At 38.4% G+C, this 20,081-nt stretch overlaps 1 long non-coding RNA gene across 1 annotated transcript; it reads left to right on the forward strand.

Annotated features, from left to right (window-relative positions):
* The first annotated feature begins 1,547 nt into the window (after window positions 1-1,547).
* LOC102724389 (uncharacterized) lies at window positions 1,548-16,600 on the forward strand. The gene is made up of 4 exons (XR_940224.4): window positions 1,548-1,744; window positions 11,213-11,282; window positions 11,648-11,711; window positions 14,605-16,600. It is a non-coding gene; the product is annotated as an uncharacterized LOC102724389 (long non-coding RNA).
* Window positions 16,601-20,081: the final 3,481 nt, after the last annotated feature.

Raw genomic sequence — 20,081 nt, forward strand, 5'->3', positions numbered from 1 at the left:
TATGTTGCCCAGACTGGACACGAACTCCCCAGCTCAAGTGATCCTCCAGCCTCCCAAGTAGCTGGGACTACAGGCACATACTATTCTATCCAGCTCAGTATCCTTCTAATAAATACTTTTTATTGTTTAAGTAAGTCAGAGTCAATTTTCCTTTCTGGCAATCAAATAATTACAGTAGAGTTGGGGTCAGGGGGTGCAGTATAATCAGATAATATATACTAAGATTTTAACAGTAACAGTTGTTTTCTAAAATTGTTCTTGTCTATATTTTCTACAATGAATAATGAATATGTATTATTTTTATACTATCAAATGAAAGGATAATAAAGCTACTTTTACCAGGATCGAAGACAGAGATAAAACCAGGCACCTGGGATTTGTTGATTACCACAATTGAGCCTTGAATTTGGCTCGAAGGTTCCTGGGAGTTAAGGAGAAAACTTGGGACAGGAAACATATGGGTTATTTAGTCTGACAAAAAGAAGAAAACTTATTTTGCTAAAGAGACGAGGTTTTTCCTGGCACTGAATTTAAGGAGAAATCTTGTACACGTGTGGGTTCTTGTATAAGACACATAGAGTAACTTAACGGCTATTATCTTGAAATGTGGTTTTACAAAAGACAGAGTGTTCTTCAAATGGATTTTTATATTAGTATGGTATAAAAACTAAGAGACTCACAGTAAATCTTAACATAATGAAGGTATCTATGCAAGAGACCAAAATAATAAGGTCAGATAAATTTCATTCTTCAGGTACCAACCAAATGCAGGGAAATCCCAGCTCTTACTTTCACTTACCTTAAAGCCTGACTTCTTGCAATGTAGATCCAGTTCACAACATTCTTCTTCTTTTTTTTTTTTTTTTTGAGATGGAGTCTCACTCTATCGCCCAGGCTGGAATACAGTGGTGCCATCTCGGCTCACTGCAACCTTCGCCTCGAGGGTTCAAGCGATTCTCCCACCTCAGCCTCCTGAGTAGCTGGGATTACAGGCACATGTCACCAAACCAAGCTAATTTTTGTATTATCGGTAGAGATGGGGTTTCACCATGTTGGTCAGGCTGGTCTCGAACTCCTGACCTCGTGATCCGACCACCTCGGCCTTCCAAAGTGGTGCAATTACAGGCGTGAGCCGCTGCACCCGGCCAACACAACATTATTCTTCACAAGTGGATATATTTGTGATTAGTTTGTGCACATTCCTCACTGAACAGCAGAAATTTAATCAAACACATCCAGTCGAGTTGGGTCTTCTTCCCAGTTATCTCTTTTCACCTCTTTCTCATCCCCAAATTTCTATAAATCCTCTCTGATCCAAGTTCATCTCTTGGCCTCAACTAAGGACAATCAAGCTTTTGCCTACCTTACTTAATAAAAATGTATGGCTTAGTTAGTAGAATAATTTCCATTTATTGTTCTCAAACAAGGCCATTAATGCCTTACCAACCTACCAAAAAATATTATCTTGGGACTTCTGCTTTTGACATGATGGTGAACCATATAGTCGTAAAGAGCTCTTCTCTTACCAAACAACTTGAACCAACACAAAACCTAATTTTTATAATATTCTTGTATCACAGAAAATAGGAAACTTTCCAAAGGAAAACAACAACAACAACAACAACAACAACAACAACAGACACCCAGTGAGTCTTAAGTGCCTCTGAGAAGGTAGAGTTGAAGAGGGAGCAAACAAAATTAAGAGATCAACCCTGCAATCCAGAAACTCAGCTGATGGCCAGTGGTAAGATGAGGGAAGTTGGGGGAAGGGACACGTTTAAAACCCCAGATGCTCCAAATATGGATTAAAAGTGGTTGCAGGCTGGGCGCAGTGGCTCACGCCTATAAACCCACTACTTTGGGAGGCTGAGGTGGGCAGATCACCTGAGGTCAGGAGTTCGAGACCAGCCTGACTAACATGGTGAAACACCATCTCTACTAAAAATACAAAAAATTAGCCAGGTGTGGTGGCGCATGCCTGTAATCCCAGCTACTCTGGAGGCTGAGGCAGAAGTGCTTGAACCTGGGAGGCGGAGGTTGCCGTGAGCCGAGGCCTCGCCATTGCACTCCAGCCTGGGCAACAAGAGCGCAACTCCATATCAAAATAAATAAATAAATAAATAAATAAATAAATAATAAAAAAATAAATGGTTGCAGGTTTGTAACGCCCCCAACTCTTTGACGAAGTGAATAAAAATCATCTCTGGAGGAAGAATTCTTGATTTAAGCCCAAACATTTTTCAACTGATGAATTTCAGCAAAATATCAGTTCATGATCAAAGATCACCAAAACCATATAGAAGAAAAAAGAATAAGATTCCACACAAACAACAAGCAACACACTTAGACCACTAATGACTTCAGTTATTAGAACACCAGCTAGGAAATATAAAATATGGATGAAATGTTCAAAGAGAGAGAAGATGAAGCCACAAAGACGAGTTAGGTCATGAGACTATAAAATATGCTAAGGTAGCTATAAAAAATAATTTAAAATTCAATGAGACCAGGTAGCAGTAATCCATTTCCAAACAACATTACAGAGCTGGGGAAAGAATCAACTATCCACCAGCAGTAGAATGAATACATTATGGGCAATAGAATACCGTGCATTATTGAAAATGATCCAACTAGAGCTATATGTTGTAATACGAATGCATCTCTCAATACTAAACTAAAGAAACAAGAACTTCAAGAATAAAAATAATAGGATCCTATATATTTCAAAAACAAGTAAATTATGATAACAGTTAGAGATATTTGTCTGTTTATATGTGCACATAAATGATAAAGGAAATCAAGAAATGATTATCTTGCAATCAAGGTAACTGTAATCACTGGGAGTGAGTGAGGCAGGGATGTATGAAGGAGAGAGGCACATGGGGTTTCTAGGACACTGGAACTATTCTATTTCTTGACGAGTCGTTACACACATATTCATTTCATCATTTTTCTTTAAAGTGTTTACACATTTTATGTACTACTCTGTATATGTATCACATGATAAAAGCAAAGAAAAAAGCCAGACCGGGGCCCACACTCCCACCAATGAGGATAATTGTGTTGTTCTTATCTGACCACATCCATCAGTAAGCAATATATCACAGCTACCTCTCAAAAAAACAAAAAACAGCCAAAAACAAATGAAAAAGTACAGAAAATTATTAGAATGGATTGTACTGCAATTAAGAATGCTTGTTCATCAAAGACACCATAAAGGAGAGAAAAGACAATCTACAGAGTGTGAAGAGGTATTTATAAAAATTCTAGAAAAGTCAGATATACACTAAGAGCTCAGTTGGGGTAAGTAACTACCTCATTCTAGGTGCCTGATGCCATCTCTGTCTCTAATTCTGCTTGTAAAAATAGTTTTATTATTCTTTCATATTATAAAAATAATATTCATTATTTGTTGTAGGAAATATAGACAAGGAAAATGAAAAGAAAAGCAACTGTTATTTTTAAAATCTTAGTGTATATTATCTGATTCTACAGCCTACTGCCATGCCCCAACTTCATTATTGTTATTTGGTTGCCAGTAAGGAAAATTGACTCTGACTTACCTAAACGATGAAAAGGCTGGGCATGGTGGCTCTCGCCTGAAATCCCAGCACTTCGGGAGGCCAAGGCGGGTGGATCACCTGAGGTCAAGAGTTCGAGACCAGCCTGCCCAACATGGCGAAACCCAGTCTCTACTAAAAATGCAAAAAATTAGCCGGGCGTGGTGGTGAGCACCTGTAATCCCAGCTACCCGGGAGGCTGAGGCAGGAGAATCGCTTGAACCTGGGAGGCAGAGGTTGTGGTGAGCCGAGATCGAGCTACTGCGCTCCAGCCTGGGCAACAAGAGCAAAACTCTGTCAAAACAAACAAACAAACAAACAAACAAACAAAACAAAAAAAACAGACACATACAATGAAAATTATTTATTAGAAGAATACTACAGAGCCTTGTGCAAATCAAGCAGAATGCTCAGGCCACGGAATACACAGGAACCTTGGTGGCCCTCAGCTGTCAGCAACCAAAATCATGGGCAATCTCCCTAGGACCCTTCCTCAGGTTGTTTTATCTTTAAACAACTTTTGTCCCTGAATGGTTACACTCCAGATCTAAAATCCCAGCAAAGGTGCTTATTAGCGGGCATGGAGCACTGTATTAGGAAACCCCCCAAATACTTGGAATGTGACAAGAGCAGGCACCCAGACCAAAGAAGTATGTGTATATTTGGGGGGAAGATTGTAAGGGGACAGTTATTTCCCCATGAAAACAAGGGAAAATAATGAGCCACCCAAAATAACAAACATAAGACCACCCTCTACATATTGTTTTAAGGCGATGTTTTATTTTTTATTATTATTTTATTATTTTTTTGAGACAATGTCTCACTCTGTTGCCCAGGCTGGAGTGTAGTGGCATGATTTCTGCTCACTGCAACCTTCACCTCCCAAGTTCAAGTGATTCGCTTGCCTCAGCTTCCCAAGCAGCTGGGATTACAGGAGCATGCCACCATGCCCAGCTAATTTTTTGTTTGTTTGTTTGTTTGTATTTTTAGTAGAGATGGGGTTTCACCATGTTGGCCAGGCTGGTCTCGAACTCCTGACCTCAGGTGATCCACCTGCCTCGGCCTCTCAAAGTGCTGGAATTACAGGCGTGAGACACTGTGCCTGGGCTTAAGGCAGTGTTTTAAAACTTAATATTTCTCAATATTTCTATGTCCTTAAGGACTCCCTTATAATTATTTTTAGCTTTTATATTGAAATATACAATACATCCAAAGAGTGCAAAAATTGTAAGGGTATAGGCTGATGAATTCTCACTACATAACTATCACTAACATCAATAAATAAAATAATGTCCCCCAAACTCTCCTAATCATTACTCACATATTCCTTCCCAAAGATAACCACCAACCTGATGTCTAACATCATGAATTAGTTTTACCTGTTATTGAACTTCGTGTGAACGGAATCTGTGTGAATTCTTTTGTCTGGCTTCTTTTGATAAGTGTATTTGTTGGATTCATTCCTGTTACTATGTTGGCAGCTGTCTATCCGTGTATATGATATATAGCCTTTCCATTGAATAAAAATACCATCATTTATTTGGTATATTTATTTACTGTTGAGGGAAAGTAAGCAATTTCTACATTTTAGCTAGTACAAAGACTACAGTGATGAACTCTATACCATTTTTTTTTTTGGGTGAACATATGGGTGCATTTGCAAATGTTCAGCTTTAGCGAATATTGCCAAATAGCTTTCCAAAATTGTTTTGCTAATTTACATCCCCCCATCAGTGTACAAGAATTTCCAGTTCCTCCACATTCTTGTCAACATTTGTGATTGCTAATCTTTGAAATGTTAACCATTTTTGGTGAGTGAGTAATGTTATCTCATTGTGGTTTTAATTTATGTCTAGGTTTTAAATTACATTTCCATAGTGACTAATGGGATTGAGTCTTTCCCTCATAAATTTAATGGGCCTTTAAAATGTTCTCTTTTGTAAAAAGTACCTGTTTGTGTCTTTTGCAAATTAAAAAAAGTCTATTTTTTCTTATTCATTTGTAAGAATTCTTTGTATATTCTGGATATGATTCCTTTGTTGGCTAAATATGTTCCCACTAACTGTTCCCAGTCTGTAACTTGTATTTTCATTCTCTCAATGATGTCTTTTGATAAACAGAAGTTCCTAATGTTAATATAATTCTATTTCTTAATTTTTTATATTTCTTTTGCTTAACCTAAGTTCTTAAATATCTTTCCCCATATTTATTCGTTAAAACTTTTGTTTTCCCCTTTCGCATTTAGATCTAAACACATTTGGAGTTGGTTTTAATCTCACTTTTATCCACTAAAAAATAAGGTATAATTTATAAGCAGTAAAATATACTGCAGTGAGATGCTCAATTCTGTGAGTTTTAACAAACACATGCAGTTATATAACTACCACCACAATTGAGACATAGAGCATCTCTATCACCTCCCCAAATACCCTCACGTCTTGTACTCAACTATTTCCCCCATTCTCAGGCCCAAATAACCATTGGTATTTTTACTGTCTATATTTTTTCTCACCCAGAATGTCATATAAGTGGAATCATACAATACGAGCCTTTGAGGCTGACTCTCTCACTTTTCATAATGCAATTGAGAGTCACCCATGTTAGTGTGTATCTTTTTTATTGCTGGATAGTATTCCATAGTGTGGATGTATCATTGTTTATTCATTTACCAGTTGAATTATATTTGAATTGTTTCTAGTCTTGGACAATTATAAATAAAGACACTATAAACATTCATGTCTATTCATAGCATTTTAGATTAGCTTTACTTATCATTTAATTTGGATAAATACATAGAAGTGGAATTCTTGGGTAATGTGATAAGTATATGTTTAACTTGATAAGAAATTACCAAATTATTTCCTAAAGTGGCTGTGCCATTTCATATTTTAACCAGCAACATATGAGTTTTCCAGTTGTTCCACATCCTCACCAGTACTTGGCATTATCAGTTTTAAAATTTTAGCTATGCTAGTAGATGTGCAATAGCATCTCATGATTTTAATTTGCATTTCCCTAATGACTAATGATGTTGAACATCTTTGCATGTGCTTATTTTGTCACATATATATCTTCTTTGGTGAAGTATTTACTAGTTTCCCATTGCTGCTGTAACAAATGACCACAAAGTTAGTGGCTTTAAAAAACATAAATGTATTATCACACGGTTTGGAGGTTGGAAGTCCTAAAACAAAGTGTTGGCAGGGCTGTGTTCGTTCTGAAGGCTTGAGAGGACAATCAATTTCTTTGCCTTTTTCTATTCTTCAGAGGCCACCTGCATTCCTTGGCTCATGGACTGAGTCAGCAGCATATTATCTTCCAATCCCTCTCTGCTTCCATCATCACATTGCCTTTTCCTGACCTTGACCCTCCTTCCTCTCTTTGATAAGAACGCCCATGACTACATTAGGCCCACCTGGATAATACCTGCCTCAAGATCCTTAACTTAGTTACATTTACAAAGCCCCTTTTGTCATGTATGGTAACATCTTCACAAGTTCCAGGGTTCAGGTGTGGACAACCCTGTAGATGGAGAGGCATCATACAATCTACATAAAGTGCTTTTTCCATTTATTTTGCCCAGTTTTGTACTGGGTTGTTTGTGTTTTATTATATAGTTTTAGAGTTCTTCATATATTCTGGATTCAACCCAGAATGTGATTTGCAACTATTTTCTCCCAATTTATGTCTTGTCTTTTCATCTTCTTGATGATGTTTTTCAAGGAGCAGAAGTTGTTCATTTCGAAGGATTTCAATATTTCAATTTGTTTTTCTTATTGATCATGAGTTTGTTGTTGTATCTGACAAACCTTTGGTAACCTAAGGTTGCAACGATTTTTTCCTGTTTCTTTCTTCTGCAAGTTTTCTAGTTTTAGCATTTATATTTAGAGCTATTATTCACTTTTAGCTAATTTTTGTGTACGATGTAAAGCATGGATCTTTTTCAGGACTTTGAATCTTGAATAAATGATGCAAAGACTAAAACATAGTTAGAATTCATTAGGCCAGGAGTGGTGGCTTACTCCTGTAATCCCAGCACTTTGGGAGGTTGAGGTGGGCAGATCGCTTGAGCCCAGGAGTTCGAGACCAGCCTGAGCAACAAGGTGAAATGCTGTCTCTACAAAACAAAAAATTCAAAAATTGGCTGGGCATGGTAGTGAACACCTGTGGTCCCAACTACTAGTGAGACTGAGGTGGGAGCATTGCTTGAGCCCAGAGGTAGAGGCTGCAGTGAGCTGTGATTATGCCAGTGTACTCCAGCCTGGGTGACAGAGCCAGACCCTGTCACAAAACAAAACAAAACAAAACAAAACAAAACAAAACAAAACACATCATCCACAGTGGTAGTTTGTGGTGGATATCCCGGTATCCACAGTGGTAGTTCATGTTGGATAACCTTTGTAAGTTCCAGAGTAACAATAGTGTCTGACATAGAGCTCCCAAGTCCATTGGAATTTCCTGGGTGATAGAAACATCTTTTGTTCTAGTAAGCTGACTCTTGATGTGCTCCTGGATGTTGAGGTTGGTCACCAGAAGGACCAAGCCATGATTAGACAATTGGAACTTTTAGCCCTACTCCTCCACCCTCCAGGAAGGAGACAGGGGCTAGAGACTGAGTTAATGATTGATCACGCCTATGTCATGAAGCTTCCATAAAAATCTCTAAACTATTGGGTTCGGAGCTAAGCAAGTGGAGGTGCCTAGAGGATGCCATGCCCAGAGAGGGTCTGGATGCTCCGCTCCCCTTCCCATATACCCTGTCCTATGCATCTCTTCCATCTGGCTGTTCATCTGTATCCTTCGTGATATTTTATATAATAAACCTATAGACGTAAGTAAGTGTTTCCCTGGGTTCTGTGAGCCATCCTAGAAAATTAATTGAGCCTGAGGAGGGGGTGCAACTTGGAGTCCCGAATTTGTAGCCAAATTGGGCAGAAATTGTGGGTAACTAGACTTGTGATTGGCACTTGAGGTGGGGTGCAGTCTTGTGGGAATGAGCCCTTAATTTGTGGGATCCGACTCTACTCCAGGTAGATAGTGTCAGAATTGAATTAAATTATAGGACACTAGTTGGTGTCTGCTGAAGGGTTGATTGGTGCATGGGGACAACCCCCCACCCCCCGTCCCCCTACATTTTGGCAACCAGAGGTGAAGTATACTGTGTACTGTGTTGACTGGTAAGGAAAAAAAGACATGTTTTGTTTCTCTGATACTCAAGGCAACTATACTGAAGATAACAATTTTATGTTCAACAAAACAAAAAATGCCTAAGCAAACAAAATCCTCAAATAATAACAACAAACAAAAACACCTTCCTTAGAAACCAGTATGAGATGATAAATATGCATTTCTCTACCACATCCAAACATTTTAAATTAAAGGATTTATTACAGGCACGGAAAAAAAAATGTGACTGACATTGTACTGCTTATTTGAGGAGTTATGTGAGAAAACTTGAGCTGAACAGTATGATTTTTATTTATCCTTATGATGTCTAGATTGACAGATAGACTAATGTCCTAGAATATTGTTTTTTGGGCCCATCCCCTGTTTATATGTCTCTTCTCATGTTCCCATAGTGAAAAGAGATCTTCCCTATAACTATATTCTAATATTAAGTTCTTATTTGGTGGAAATTTGAGAGAGAATTAAATATGAGTTCTTAAAACACTCTGGACCTCTAAATGGTTACACTCTATTTTTTATGTTTACCTTTGCCTTTATTATACTGTGCATTATGCTTATTTTATTAGTGGTGACATAAGAATTTCCATGAATAATTTCTGAATGAGCACTTGCAAATGCTAACTACTACAGAATCAGAGATGAGAGAACATGAGCCTTGGTACTAGATGGACCTGGGTTTCAATCCCAGCTTTGACATTTATTAGACTTTACAGAGGTTCTTAGCCTCTTTATGTCTCAATTTACCCTTCTGCAAAATGGAGATGTTACCTTCCTGGGATGCACAGATTAGGTGCTCTATAAATATGGCTCTATAGAGGAGGACATGGGGGTTGAGAAGAGACAGAATTTGCATTCTCAAGGGCATTTACCGAAGAGCATTCTGGAGTGAATCCTAAGGGATGAATCTGACTTGCTTTTTGCCTGCTTTTTTGTAGCCGTGACAAACTATGTGTTCCTCCCCTACTGCCTGCCTGCCTCTGCTGTTACCATGGCGATCCAGGTTCATTTTAGGAGTCTGTGACAGGACAGATTGGCTTTTGCAATTTGTAAAAATCTCACTCTCTAAAAATAAGGACCAGGCAGCCAGGGTGGCAGTAACAACACGGTGTTGGGTAGATTTTCTGCCACCTCTCAGCTACACGGTAGTAGTGGAGAACCTATTGTCAGCTTGGCATGCTGCTGGATTCTGGATCTCTGGGTTTATCTGGGGCATAGTCAACTGACTGATAAATTATAGCAGTTAAAGATTACCATTAGCTTTTCAGTTTCCCTCCCTTCAGTTTCTTTTTTTACACCGCGTGCCCTCATGTTCCGCCCCTTTCTAGTATCAAACACCTGCTCTCAGATCATTCATTCTTACCAAGTAGACACAGTAGAAGTCACTTAGTGGGCAATAAACATAGAGATTCCTATAAATTGATTTAAGAAAACTTTTTATTATGGAAAATTGCAAACATGAAAAAGTAGACTGAACTCATCACCCAACTATAAGAATTACCAATTCATGACCAACGCACATTCCCATGCAATTTCACTCTTGCCTATATTTTTGAGCAAATCTCAAAAATTGTTATTCCTTAGTTCATAAATATTTCAATAGAACCTCTAAAAGATGAGAGTTGGGTTTGTGTGTGTGTGTGTGTGTGCGTGTATGTTTTTAACACGACCACAGTACTATTTAAATTGACCTTGGAGATGGTCTTTATCACTCTTGGAGGAGTTTTAAAGAAAAAAATTATTTTCTTGCGCTTCTTCTAGTGAAGGTTTAAAGGCTGCAAGAACTTCCCTCCTGTAACAAACAACTAGAAAATTGAAAAAGTATATATAACAAGTGTTTTCAGACAGTGGACAACAGGCAACATAGGACTGTGAAACCTGGGAGGAGGGAAACCAATAAGGTGAGCCCTGTGATGGTTGCAGCTCACTGTCAGGAGCCAACTCAGGGCCACCGGGCAGGAAGGAGAACTGAAACAGAGCCTGGCCGACTCACCAAATTAAGGAAGAAGCAATCAGGGTTAGGGGGGTCCTGGCTAGGATTTGCAGGGCGGAATATCAGTGAGGAAGGGAGGGCAGAGGCAAGGACCTTGCCTTTTTTCACATAACAATGTATTCATTCATTCATTCATTCTTCGTTTAAAGATTATTTAGAGAGTTCCTCATATGTGCCAGGTCCTGTTCTAGATGCTGGGGTTGCAGCCTACCTAATGATGTATTGTCCATCACCAGCAGTAATTCCAGGTATCATACTGGGCATTCAACCAGTAAGACACAATGGGATTGAGTCTAACACTAAGTTTACTCTGTAGATGGGAAACAGCATGCAAACGTCTTTGATTGCATCAGTAGTCCCAAAACTACTTTCTGGGAATGCAGTTACCATGAACCAGGTCAAGGTATGTGTAACTTATTTTGAAACAGAAAATGTACTTCCCTAATACTCCACTTGCCTTTTGATATGATTTCAGTTACATAGAGCCAAGATTTAAGTGCCACTTTGCTGCTCTTCCAGTAAACAAGACAGATAACCAACTCATGGTATGTAATATTTGACATTTATGCAAGGGAATTGTGCTTTCAGAAGGCAATCCCGGGGTCATCTCTCCAAGCAGGCCTGCGGTTTACCCCTTTAGTCACTGGCATACTTTTGATGGGGATACACACAAACCCAGGTATATCATCAAGACAGTAATGATAAATATTATCATATGGTCAATAAAATAGAAAGAGATAGAGGATGATGGAAGGTGCTGCTTTATACCTTAGTGAGGGGAGTCCTTGTGTATTTATCATTTGCACACAGCTAAGTACATCCCTAAGACAATTGTTCAAAAGCAGATTTGCTGAGTCAAAGTATATGTGCTTTTATAATTTGGTAAATATTGCCAAATTTCCTGTTGCAGAGTTGCTCCATTTTGCATTTCTACCAGCAATGTGACTACTCTCCCCTACCTTCATCAACACAAGGTACAATCTAAGTTTTGCATTTGAACCATTTGATATGTGAAGAATAGCATCTCATCATTCCGTTGTGCATTCCTTTTATTATAAATTGCATCACACATTTTTCACAAGCTTAAGAATCATTTGAACTCTCTTTCTTGTAAACTGCCATTTCATGTCCTTTATTCATTTTCTGTTGTCTTTATCATATTTCTCTGTATGAATTCCTAGTACATTAGAGAAATTAACCTTTTGTCCATGATCTGTAATAACTTTTTTCCAATTTGACATTTGTCTTTTTATTTTGCTTGTGATTTTTTCTCATACGTACTTTTTTTACTTTTATGTAACTTGGTTTATTAATCTCTCATGGCATCTCCATTATGAAATTATAAAAATAATTTTATCCCATGGTTTTTGGATAGAACTTTCCTGGTATCATTTTTAATGTTTACATTTTTTATCTATCTGGAATTATTTTGATATAAATTTACCTTTTTTCCCATTTGATTATCTGTTACAACACCACTATTTATTGAATAATAATTTGATTACATTTCAAAGCATACATATCTACTCTTTATTGGCCACATAGAATATGCACACTGTAGGGCTTTGTCAAAAACTATAACCTCAAAACTATTGATGCTCAAGTTTTATCCTAGTAACGAACTATCAAAATGATCCCTGAGAGTAGAGTCTTTCAAGTTTTATCCCAATCATTGCGATGAAAAATGATTTATGTGGAGGATTTTTTAAAGGATATTCATCTGACATTTGTGTGCCTGTGTGTTTATTTCTTCTTATTTTTCCAATTACAGTTTTGAAAGACAGATGATTAGAGAGTTTTATATATGGCTCCTATTGTCTTAACACGGATCAGAAGCAGGGCCTTTTTCTTTTTTCTTTTTTTTTTTTTGAGATGGAGACTTGCTCTGTCACCAGGCTGGAGTGCAGTGGTGCAATCTCGGCTCACTGCAACCTCCACCTCCCGGGTTCAAGTGGTTCTCCTGCCTCAGCCTCCCGAGTAGTTGGGATTACAGGCACGAGCCACCATGTCCAGCTAATTTTTGTGTTTTTAGTAGTGATGGGGTTTCACCATGTTGGCCAGGCTGGTCTTGAATTCCTGACCTCACGTGATCCACCTGCCTATGCCTCCCAAAGTGCTGGGATTACAGGTGTGAGCCACTGCTCCCAGTTTGGGCCTTTTTCAAGTTGAGGCTCCCAGTCTGGGCCTTTTTCAAGTTGAGCATTTACTTCCTTACTTAGGATCTGTTGAGAGATTTTTTTAAATGGCTATACAAAATCTAAGACTGCATTTATTATAGAGATATTTTATTCAGTGCCTTCTACATGAAATACACAGGAAGCAATTTTTTTCCCTAAGAATGAAGAGTCAAAGAAGCTTTGTTTATCCTGTGGAAATGTGGCTCTTTTGGGGAGTTGATGTTAATTTAATGATTGATTTCTTTTGGCTGCCAAACAACACAGCCTAGGGGCGTAGGCATGCTGGGTGTTGTTTGAAGCTTGCAGGCTCTAGAGTGGGGCAGACATGGATCAAGTCCCTACTGTTACCCAAATAAGCTGAGTTGCTTTGGGCAAGTTATTTAACTTCTCTGTCCCAGCTGCCTTATGTGTAAGACAGGAATAATAATAATGATAGCTGCCTTATTAAATTGGGAGGATTAGATGAGATTAAAAAATAAGTAAAAGGTTTAGCACAATGCCAACATATAGTAAGCATTCAATATACATTAGCTGTTACTATTACTGTGGATTCATTTTGATCGAGGTGTTAAGAATCACACCATTTTTAAAAAGGTTGATAGCATTTGGAAGATTAACAAAAGCCTTAGATGCATTGACATCTGTCCCTCCCATGAAGAAGTGAATTATTTCTCTTTTGCTATTGTTCTGAATAGCCTATAAGCTATGCACTTGAAAAGATTAAACTATACAAAAATAAACAAAATGTGAATGAATCCTATTTATTTTATAGAATTTCAGAATCTAGATGTTGGGCTGGAACTTAGATGTTATCTAGTCCAATCTCCCTTCCGAAAGTTATTTGGTAAATATGTAAATAAACTCAGATTTTAACTTTTTCCCCTATGCATGAGACTGAAGTATCTTTTAAAGAAATGTGAAATCTACTTGAATCAGAATAAAATATATACATATTATTCATATTATTTCTAAACTTTAGAATGTCAAAATATTCTCAGAACTGAATTGTGATCCGACATTTCATTTGGTCTAAATGCCATTGGGAAGCAGTTTCCTCCACTTTTTATGGGGAGTGGGAAGCGACAGGGCATGAGATCTCACCGCGCTGGGGACACCACATCTAACTCCATGTCCCGCGCAGCGCAGCCAGGCAGTAACCAGCAAGGACTGCCGCTGCTGCAGAGAGGAGGTTGTGCTGACCCAGGAATAACAGCTATGAGCTGATGATGTCAGTAACTTTTAAAATAGCTTATTTAAAAATCTTTTCAGTGACCTCAGCTACACTTAATGCCAGTTAGCTCATCTGGACATAGGCAGGAAATGTTAGAAGGTTGGGTGACAACTGGAACTCCAAGCAGCTGTTATCCTAAGAAGCTCATTTTAGGAAAGAACTTGTCTGAACAAGTCGGAGACTGAAGATACCCTCGGTATCTAGTGACCATGATGTAGATATAGATCCAGTGTGTCCCCAGCCATGCAAGTCTGCAGAAAATCTAGCATCACAAGAACAGTTACACATGGTATTTCTAGCGCTCTGCCCATATCTTCTGTGATGGCAACTCTGGTGCCCTTTCTGGGTCTCCTGTGTATTTTGGAGATTCTGTGGATGACTCACATGGATTCATGGGCTTAATTCTATCAGTCACTGTGGGTTTCCTCTATTGCCCCTCCTTACGATTCTCTTCTGCAGCCATGCAGCCACCGCAGCAGGTGATGCCTGGATTCTGCTGCATCCAGGCTGCAGATGCCTGATACCTGACACCCTCGGAACTGACGTCTGCACTGAGAGCACATCTCCCAACTGCAGAGCCCAGGTGATGGTGCTGCTGCCAGCAGAAGTGCTGATGGGCCAAGCTCCTACAAAGCTTTCTTGGTCTTCTGGAGCCTTCAGTGTGTTGAAGCCACACCAAAGCAGAAGGCGCTTTCTCATTAGTGGAATAGTATGTTAATTGGACACCAAAGCTATGCCATAAAATCATCAACACTGTATAATTGTTGCTATTGAAATGCTTATGGTTCATTATTAAACATGCTCTTATTAAAAATTTGACCATTTATTCCACAACACCTAGGTCATCACTCCACCTGCCTCTGCATCCCGATGTGCTGGGATTACAGGCATGAGCCACCACGCCCAGCCTTACTATCTGGCTTTTTACAAAAAAGGTGTACCAACCCTTTATTTTTATTTTTATTAATAATTTTTTGTACTCAGCAAAAATACTACTGATTTACCGTTTATTATAAAGGGTATAATTCAGGAACAGCCAAATGGAAGAGAGATAAAGGGTAAAGAAATGTGTTGAGGGAAGATGGGATGCGTAAGTAATCCTCCAACTCTTGATTTAGATTTTCAAATGAAAAATAGATTAAGTTCCACTCCAGAACATAAATTTAAAGAAGATGAATAATCCTATGGTGGATTTTAAAGAGGAGTCAGAGTATTGCATTTGAGGTATAGATCACAAGTGAAATCTTGAAGAATGAATGGACTTTTCTCGGAGGGATCAATACAATTGTTCTTTCAGGGACAAGCAAATATGGGAAGTATATGACTCTTGAGATATATAGTTGATCTGTCTCATAGCATGCATTTAAAATTTTGAAAGGTACTAACACATTGCTCTCCAAAGAGATTTTTATTAGTTCATATTCTCACTATAGTATATGAAAGTGCCTGTGGGCTGTCATCAATATGAAAAAATTTCCAAGCCTGAAGAGCAACAAATAACATATCCTTATTGTTTTAAGTTGCATTTAAAAAATTACTAGTGAAATAATACCAAACAGTCTCTCAGACCACAGTGCAATCAAATTAGAACTCAGGATTAAGAAACTCACTCAAAACCACACAATTACATGGAAATTGAACAACCTGATCCTGAATGACTCCTGGGTTAATAATGAAATTAAGGCAAAAATCAAGTTTTTTGAAACCAATGAGAACAAAGAGACAACCTACCAGAATCTCTGGGACACAGCTAAAGCAGTGTTAAGAGGGAATTTTATGGTACTAAATACCCACATGAGAAAGCTAGAAAGATCTCAAGTTGACACCCTAACATCACAATTAGAAGAGCTACAGAGGCAAGAGCAAATTAATCCAAAATCTGGCAGAAGACAAGAGATAACTAAGATCAGAGCGGAATTGAAGGAGATAGAGATACAAAAACCCTGCAAAAAATCAATGAATCCAGAAGCCGGTTTTTTGAAAAAATTAACAAAATAGATATATTGCTAGCTAGACTAATGAAGAAGAAAATAGAGAAGAATCAAATAGACACAATAAAAAATGACAAAGGGGATAACACCACTGACTCCACAGAAATACAAACTACCATCAGAGAATAATATAAACACCTCTATGCAAACAAGCTAGAAAATCTATAAGAAATGGATAAATTCCTGGACACATACACCCTTCCAAGGCTAAACCAGGAAGAAGTCGAATCCCTGAATAGACCAATAACAAGTTCTGAAATTGAGGCAGCAATTAATAGTCTACCAATAAAAAACAAGCCCAGGACCAGATAGATTCACAGCCAAATTCTACCAGAGGTACAAAGAGGAGCTGGTCCCATTCCTTCTGAAACTATGCCAAACAATTGAAAAGGAGGGACCCCTCCCTAATGCATTTTCCGAAGCCAGCATCGACCTAATACCAAAACCTGGCAATGACACAAAAAAATTGAAAACTTCAGGCCAATATCCCTGATGAACATTGATGCGAAAATACTCGATAAAATACTGGCAAACCGAATCCAGCAGCACATCAAAAAACTTACCTACCAAGATCAAGTCAGCTTCATCCCTGGGAAACAAGCCTGGCTCAACATATGCAAATCAATAAATGTAATCCATCACATAAACAGAACCAAAGAAAAAAAACACATGATTTTCTCAATAAATGCAGAAAAGGCCTTTGATAAAATTCAACATCGCTTCATGTTAAAAACTCTCAATAAACCAGCTATTGATGGAACATATCTCAAAATAATAAGAGCTATTTATGACAAATCCACAGCAAATATCATACTGAATGGGCAAAAGCTTGAAGCATTTCCTGTGAAAACCAGCACAAGACAAGGATGCCCTCTCTCACCATTCCTATTCAACATAGTATTGGAAGTTCTGGCCAGGGCAATCAGGCAAGAGAAAGAAATAATGGGCATTCACGTAGGAAGAGAGGAAGTAAAATTGCCTCTGTTTGCAGATGACTTGATTCTATGTTTAGAAAATCCCATCATCTCAGCCCAAAAACCCCTTAAGTTGATAAACAACTTTAGCAAAGTCTCAGGATACAAAATCAATGTGCAAAAATCACAAGCATTCCTTTACACCAACAATAGACAAGCAGAGAGCCAAATCATGAATGAATTCCCATTCACAATTGCTGCAAAGAGAATAAAATACCCAGGAATACAGCTAACAAGGGATGTGAAGGACCTCTTCAAGGAGAACTACAAACCACTGCTCAATGAAATAAGAGAGGACACATACAAATGGAAAAACATTCCATCCTCATGGATAGAAAGAATCAATATCATGAAAATGACCATACTGCCCAAAGTAATTTATAGATTCCATGCTATTCCCATCAAACTACCATTGACGTGTTTCACAGAATTAGAAAAAAAAAACACTTTATGGCATCAAAGAAGACCCCATATAGCTGAGACAATCCTAAGCAAAAAGAACAAAGGTGGAGGCATCATGCTACCTGACTTCAAACTATACTACAAGGTTACAGTAACCAAAAGAGCATGGTACTGGTACCAAAACAGACATATAAACCAATGGAACAGAACAGAGACCTCAAAAATAATACTACACATCTACAACCATCTGATCTTTGACAAACCTGACAAAAACAAGCAATGGAGAAAGGATCTCCTATGCAATAAACGGTGCTGGGAAAACTGGCTAGCCATATGCAGAAAACTGAAACTGGACCCCTTCCTTACACCTTATACAAAAATTAACTCGAGATGAATTAAAGACTTAAATGTAAAACCCCAAACCATAAAAACGCTAGGAGAAAACCTAGGCAATACCATTCAGGACATAGGCATGGGCAAAGACTTCATGACAAACATACCAAAAGCAATTGCAACAAAAGTCGGAATTGACAAATGGGATCTAATGAAACTAAAGAGCTTCTGCACAGCAAACGAAACTGTCATCAGAGTGAACAGGCAATGGAAGAACATTTTTGCAATCTACCCATCTGACAAAGGTCGAATATTCAGAGTCTACAAGGAACTTAAACAAATTTACAAGAAAAAAGCAACCTCATCAAAAAGTGGGCAAAAGATATGAACAGACATTTCTCAAAAGAAGGCATTTATGCAGTCAACAAACATGAAAAAAAGCTCAACATCACTGATCATCAGAGAATTGCAAATCAAAACCACAATGAAATACCATCTCACTCTAGTCAGAATGGTGATTATTAAAAAGTCGAGAAACAATAGATGCTGGGAAGGCTGTGGAGAAATAGAAACACTTCTATACTGTTGGTGGGAATGTAAATTAGTTCAGCCATTGTGGAAGACAGTATGGTGATTCCTCAGGGATCTAGAACCATAAATACCATTTGACCCAGCAATCCCATTACTGGGAATATACCCAAAGGAATATAAATCATTCTACTATAAAGACACATGCACACATATGTTTATTGCAGCACTATTTACAATAGTGAAGTCATGGAACGAACCAAAATGCCCATCAGTAATAGACTGGATAAAGAAAATGTGGTATATATACACCATGGAATATTATGCAGCCATAAAAAGAAAGGAGATCATGTCTTTTGCAGGAACATGGACAAAGCTGGAAGCTATCATCCTCTGCAAACTAATACGGGAACAGAAAGCCAAATACTGCATATTCTCACTCATAAGTGCAAGCTGAACAATGAGAAAACATGGACACAGGGAGCAGAAAAACACACCAGGACCTGTTGGGGTTGGGGGGCAAGGGGAGGGAACTTAGAGGTCAGGTTAATAGGCGCAGCAAACCACCATGGCACACATATACCTATGTAACAAACCTGCACATTCTGCACATGTATCCTGGAACTTAAAAAAAAAAATTACTAGTTAGATGGACATTTTTCATCATTATTGACCATCTATATATTTCTTTTGTAAAATACGTTTTCCTGTCTTTTGTCCTCATTTTTTTCTCTTAGATTTTCTTTTCATATTAGATTTGTAGGAGTTTTTCCTATGTTGTAAATAGTAACTTTTTGTATTTTATACTTATTTCAAATATTTTTCTAGGCTGTCATTTGGGCTTTAACTTTTAAAAAAACACAAAAAATAGCTAATATTAACTAAGCACTTACTATCCACCTGACATTCAGCTAAGAGTTGTACACAAATTACCTCATTTACTTCTTTTTCTATTTTTTTGACAGTCTCACTCTTGCCCAGGCTGGAGTGTAGTGGTGCAATCTCAGCTCACTGCAACCTCTGCCTCCTGGGTTCAAGTGATTCTCCTGCCTCACTCAGCCTCCCGGGTAGCTGGGATTACAAGTGTGTGCCACCATGCCCAGCTAAGATGTGTATTTTTGATAGAGATGGGGTTTCATCATGTAGGCCAGGGTAATCTCAAACTCCTGACCTCAGGTGATTTGCCCTCCTTGGCCTCCCAAAGTGCTGGGATTACAGGTGTGAGCCACTGTGCCCAACCTACCTCATTTACTTCTCATCGTAACTTTATGAGGTGGGGAACTATTATTACCCTGGTGTTACAAACAAGGAAACTGAGTCAAACTGAGTCACAAAAAAGCCAAGTAACTTGCCCAAGGTCACATGGACAGGAAATATCAGAGCTGGGGTTAGAACCCGGGTAAGATCTTCACCACTCTTCCATATTGCCTTCCTCACAGGCATTAGTCAAGATCTCATTTAATCTTCACAACGACCCTAGAGGAGGCTACGATTGCTCTCTGCAACAGATCTCATTTCACAGGTGAGGAATCTGAGACTCAGAGAGGTGAAAGCCCTTTGCCCAGGATAAGAGGTAGGGCTGGAATTTGAATGCAACTCTGTCTGAGTCCAAAACCCGTGATGTTTCTCCATGTTACAATTCCAAGGAATCTTTCTTTTACCTTGAGGGCCTCTCTTGAAAGATAAAAGAAAGGTAAAAACCGAGGTG

Source organism: Homo sapiens, chromosome 2 (genome assembly GCF_000001405.40).
Source record: "Homo sapiens chromosome 2, GRCh38.p14 Primary Assembly".
Classification (NCBI taxonomy): Eukaryota; Metazoa; Chordata; class Mammalia; order Primates; family Hominidae; genus Homo; species Homo sapiens.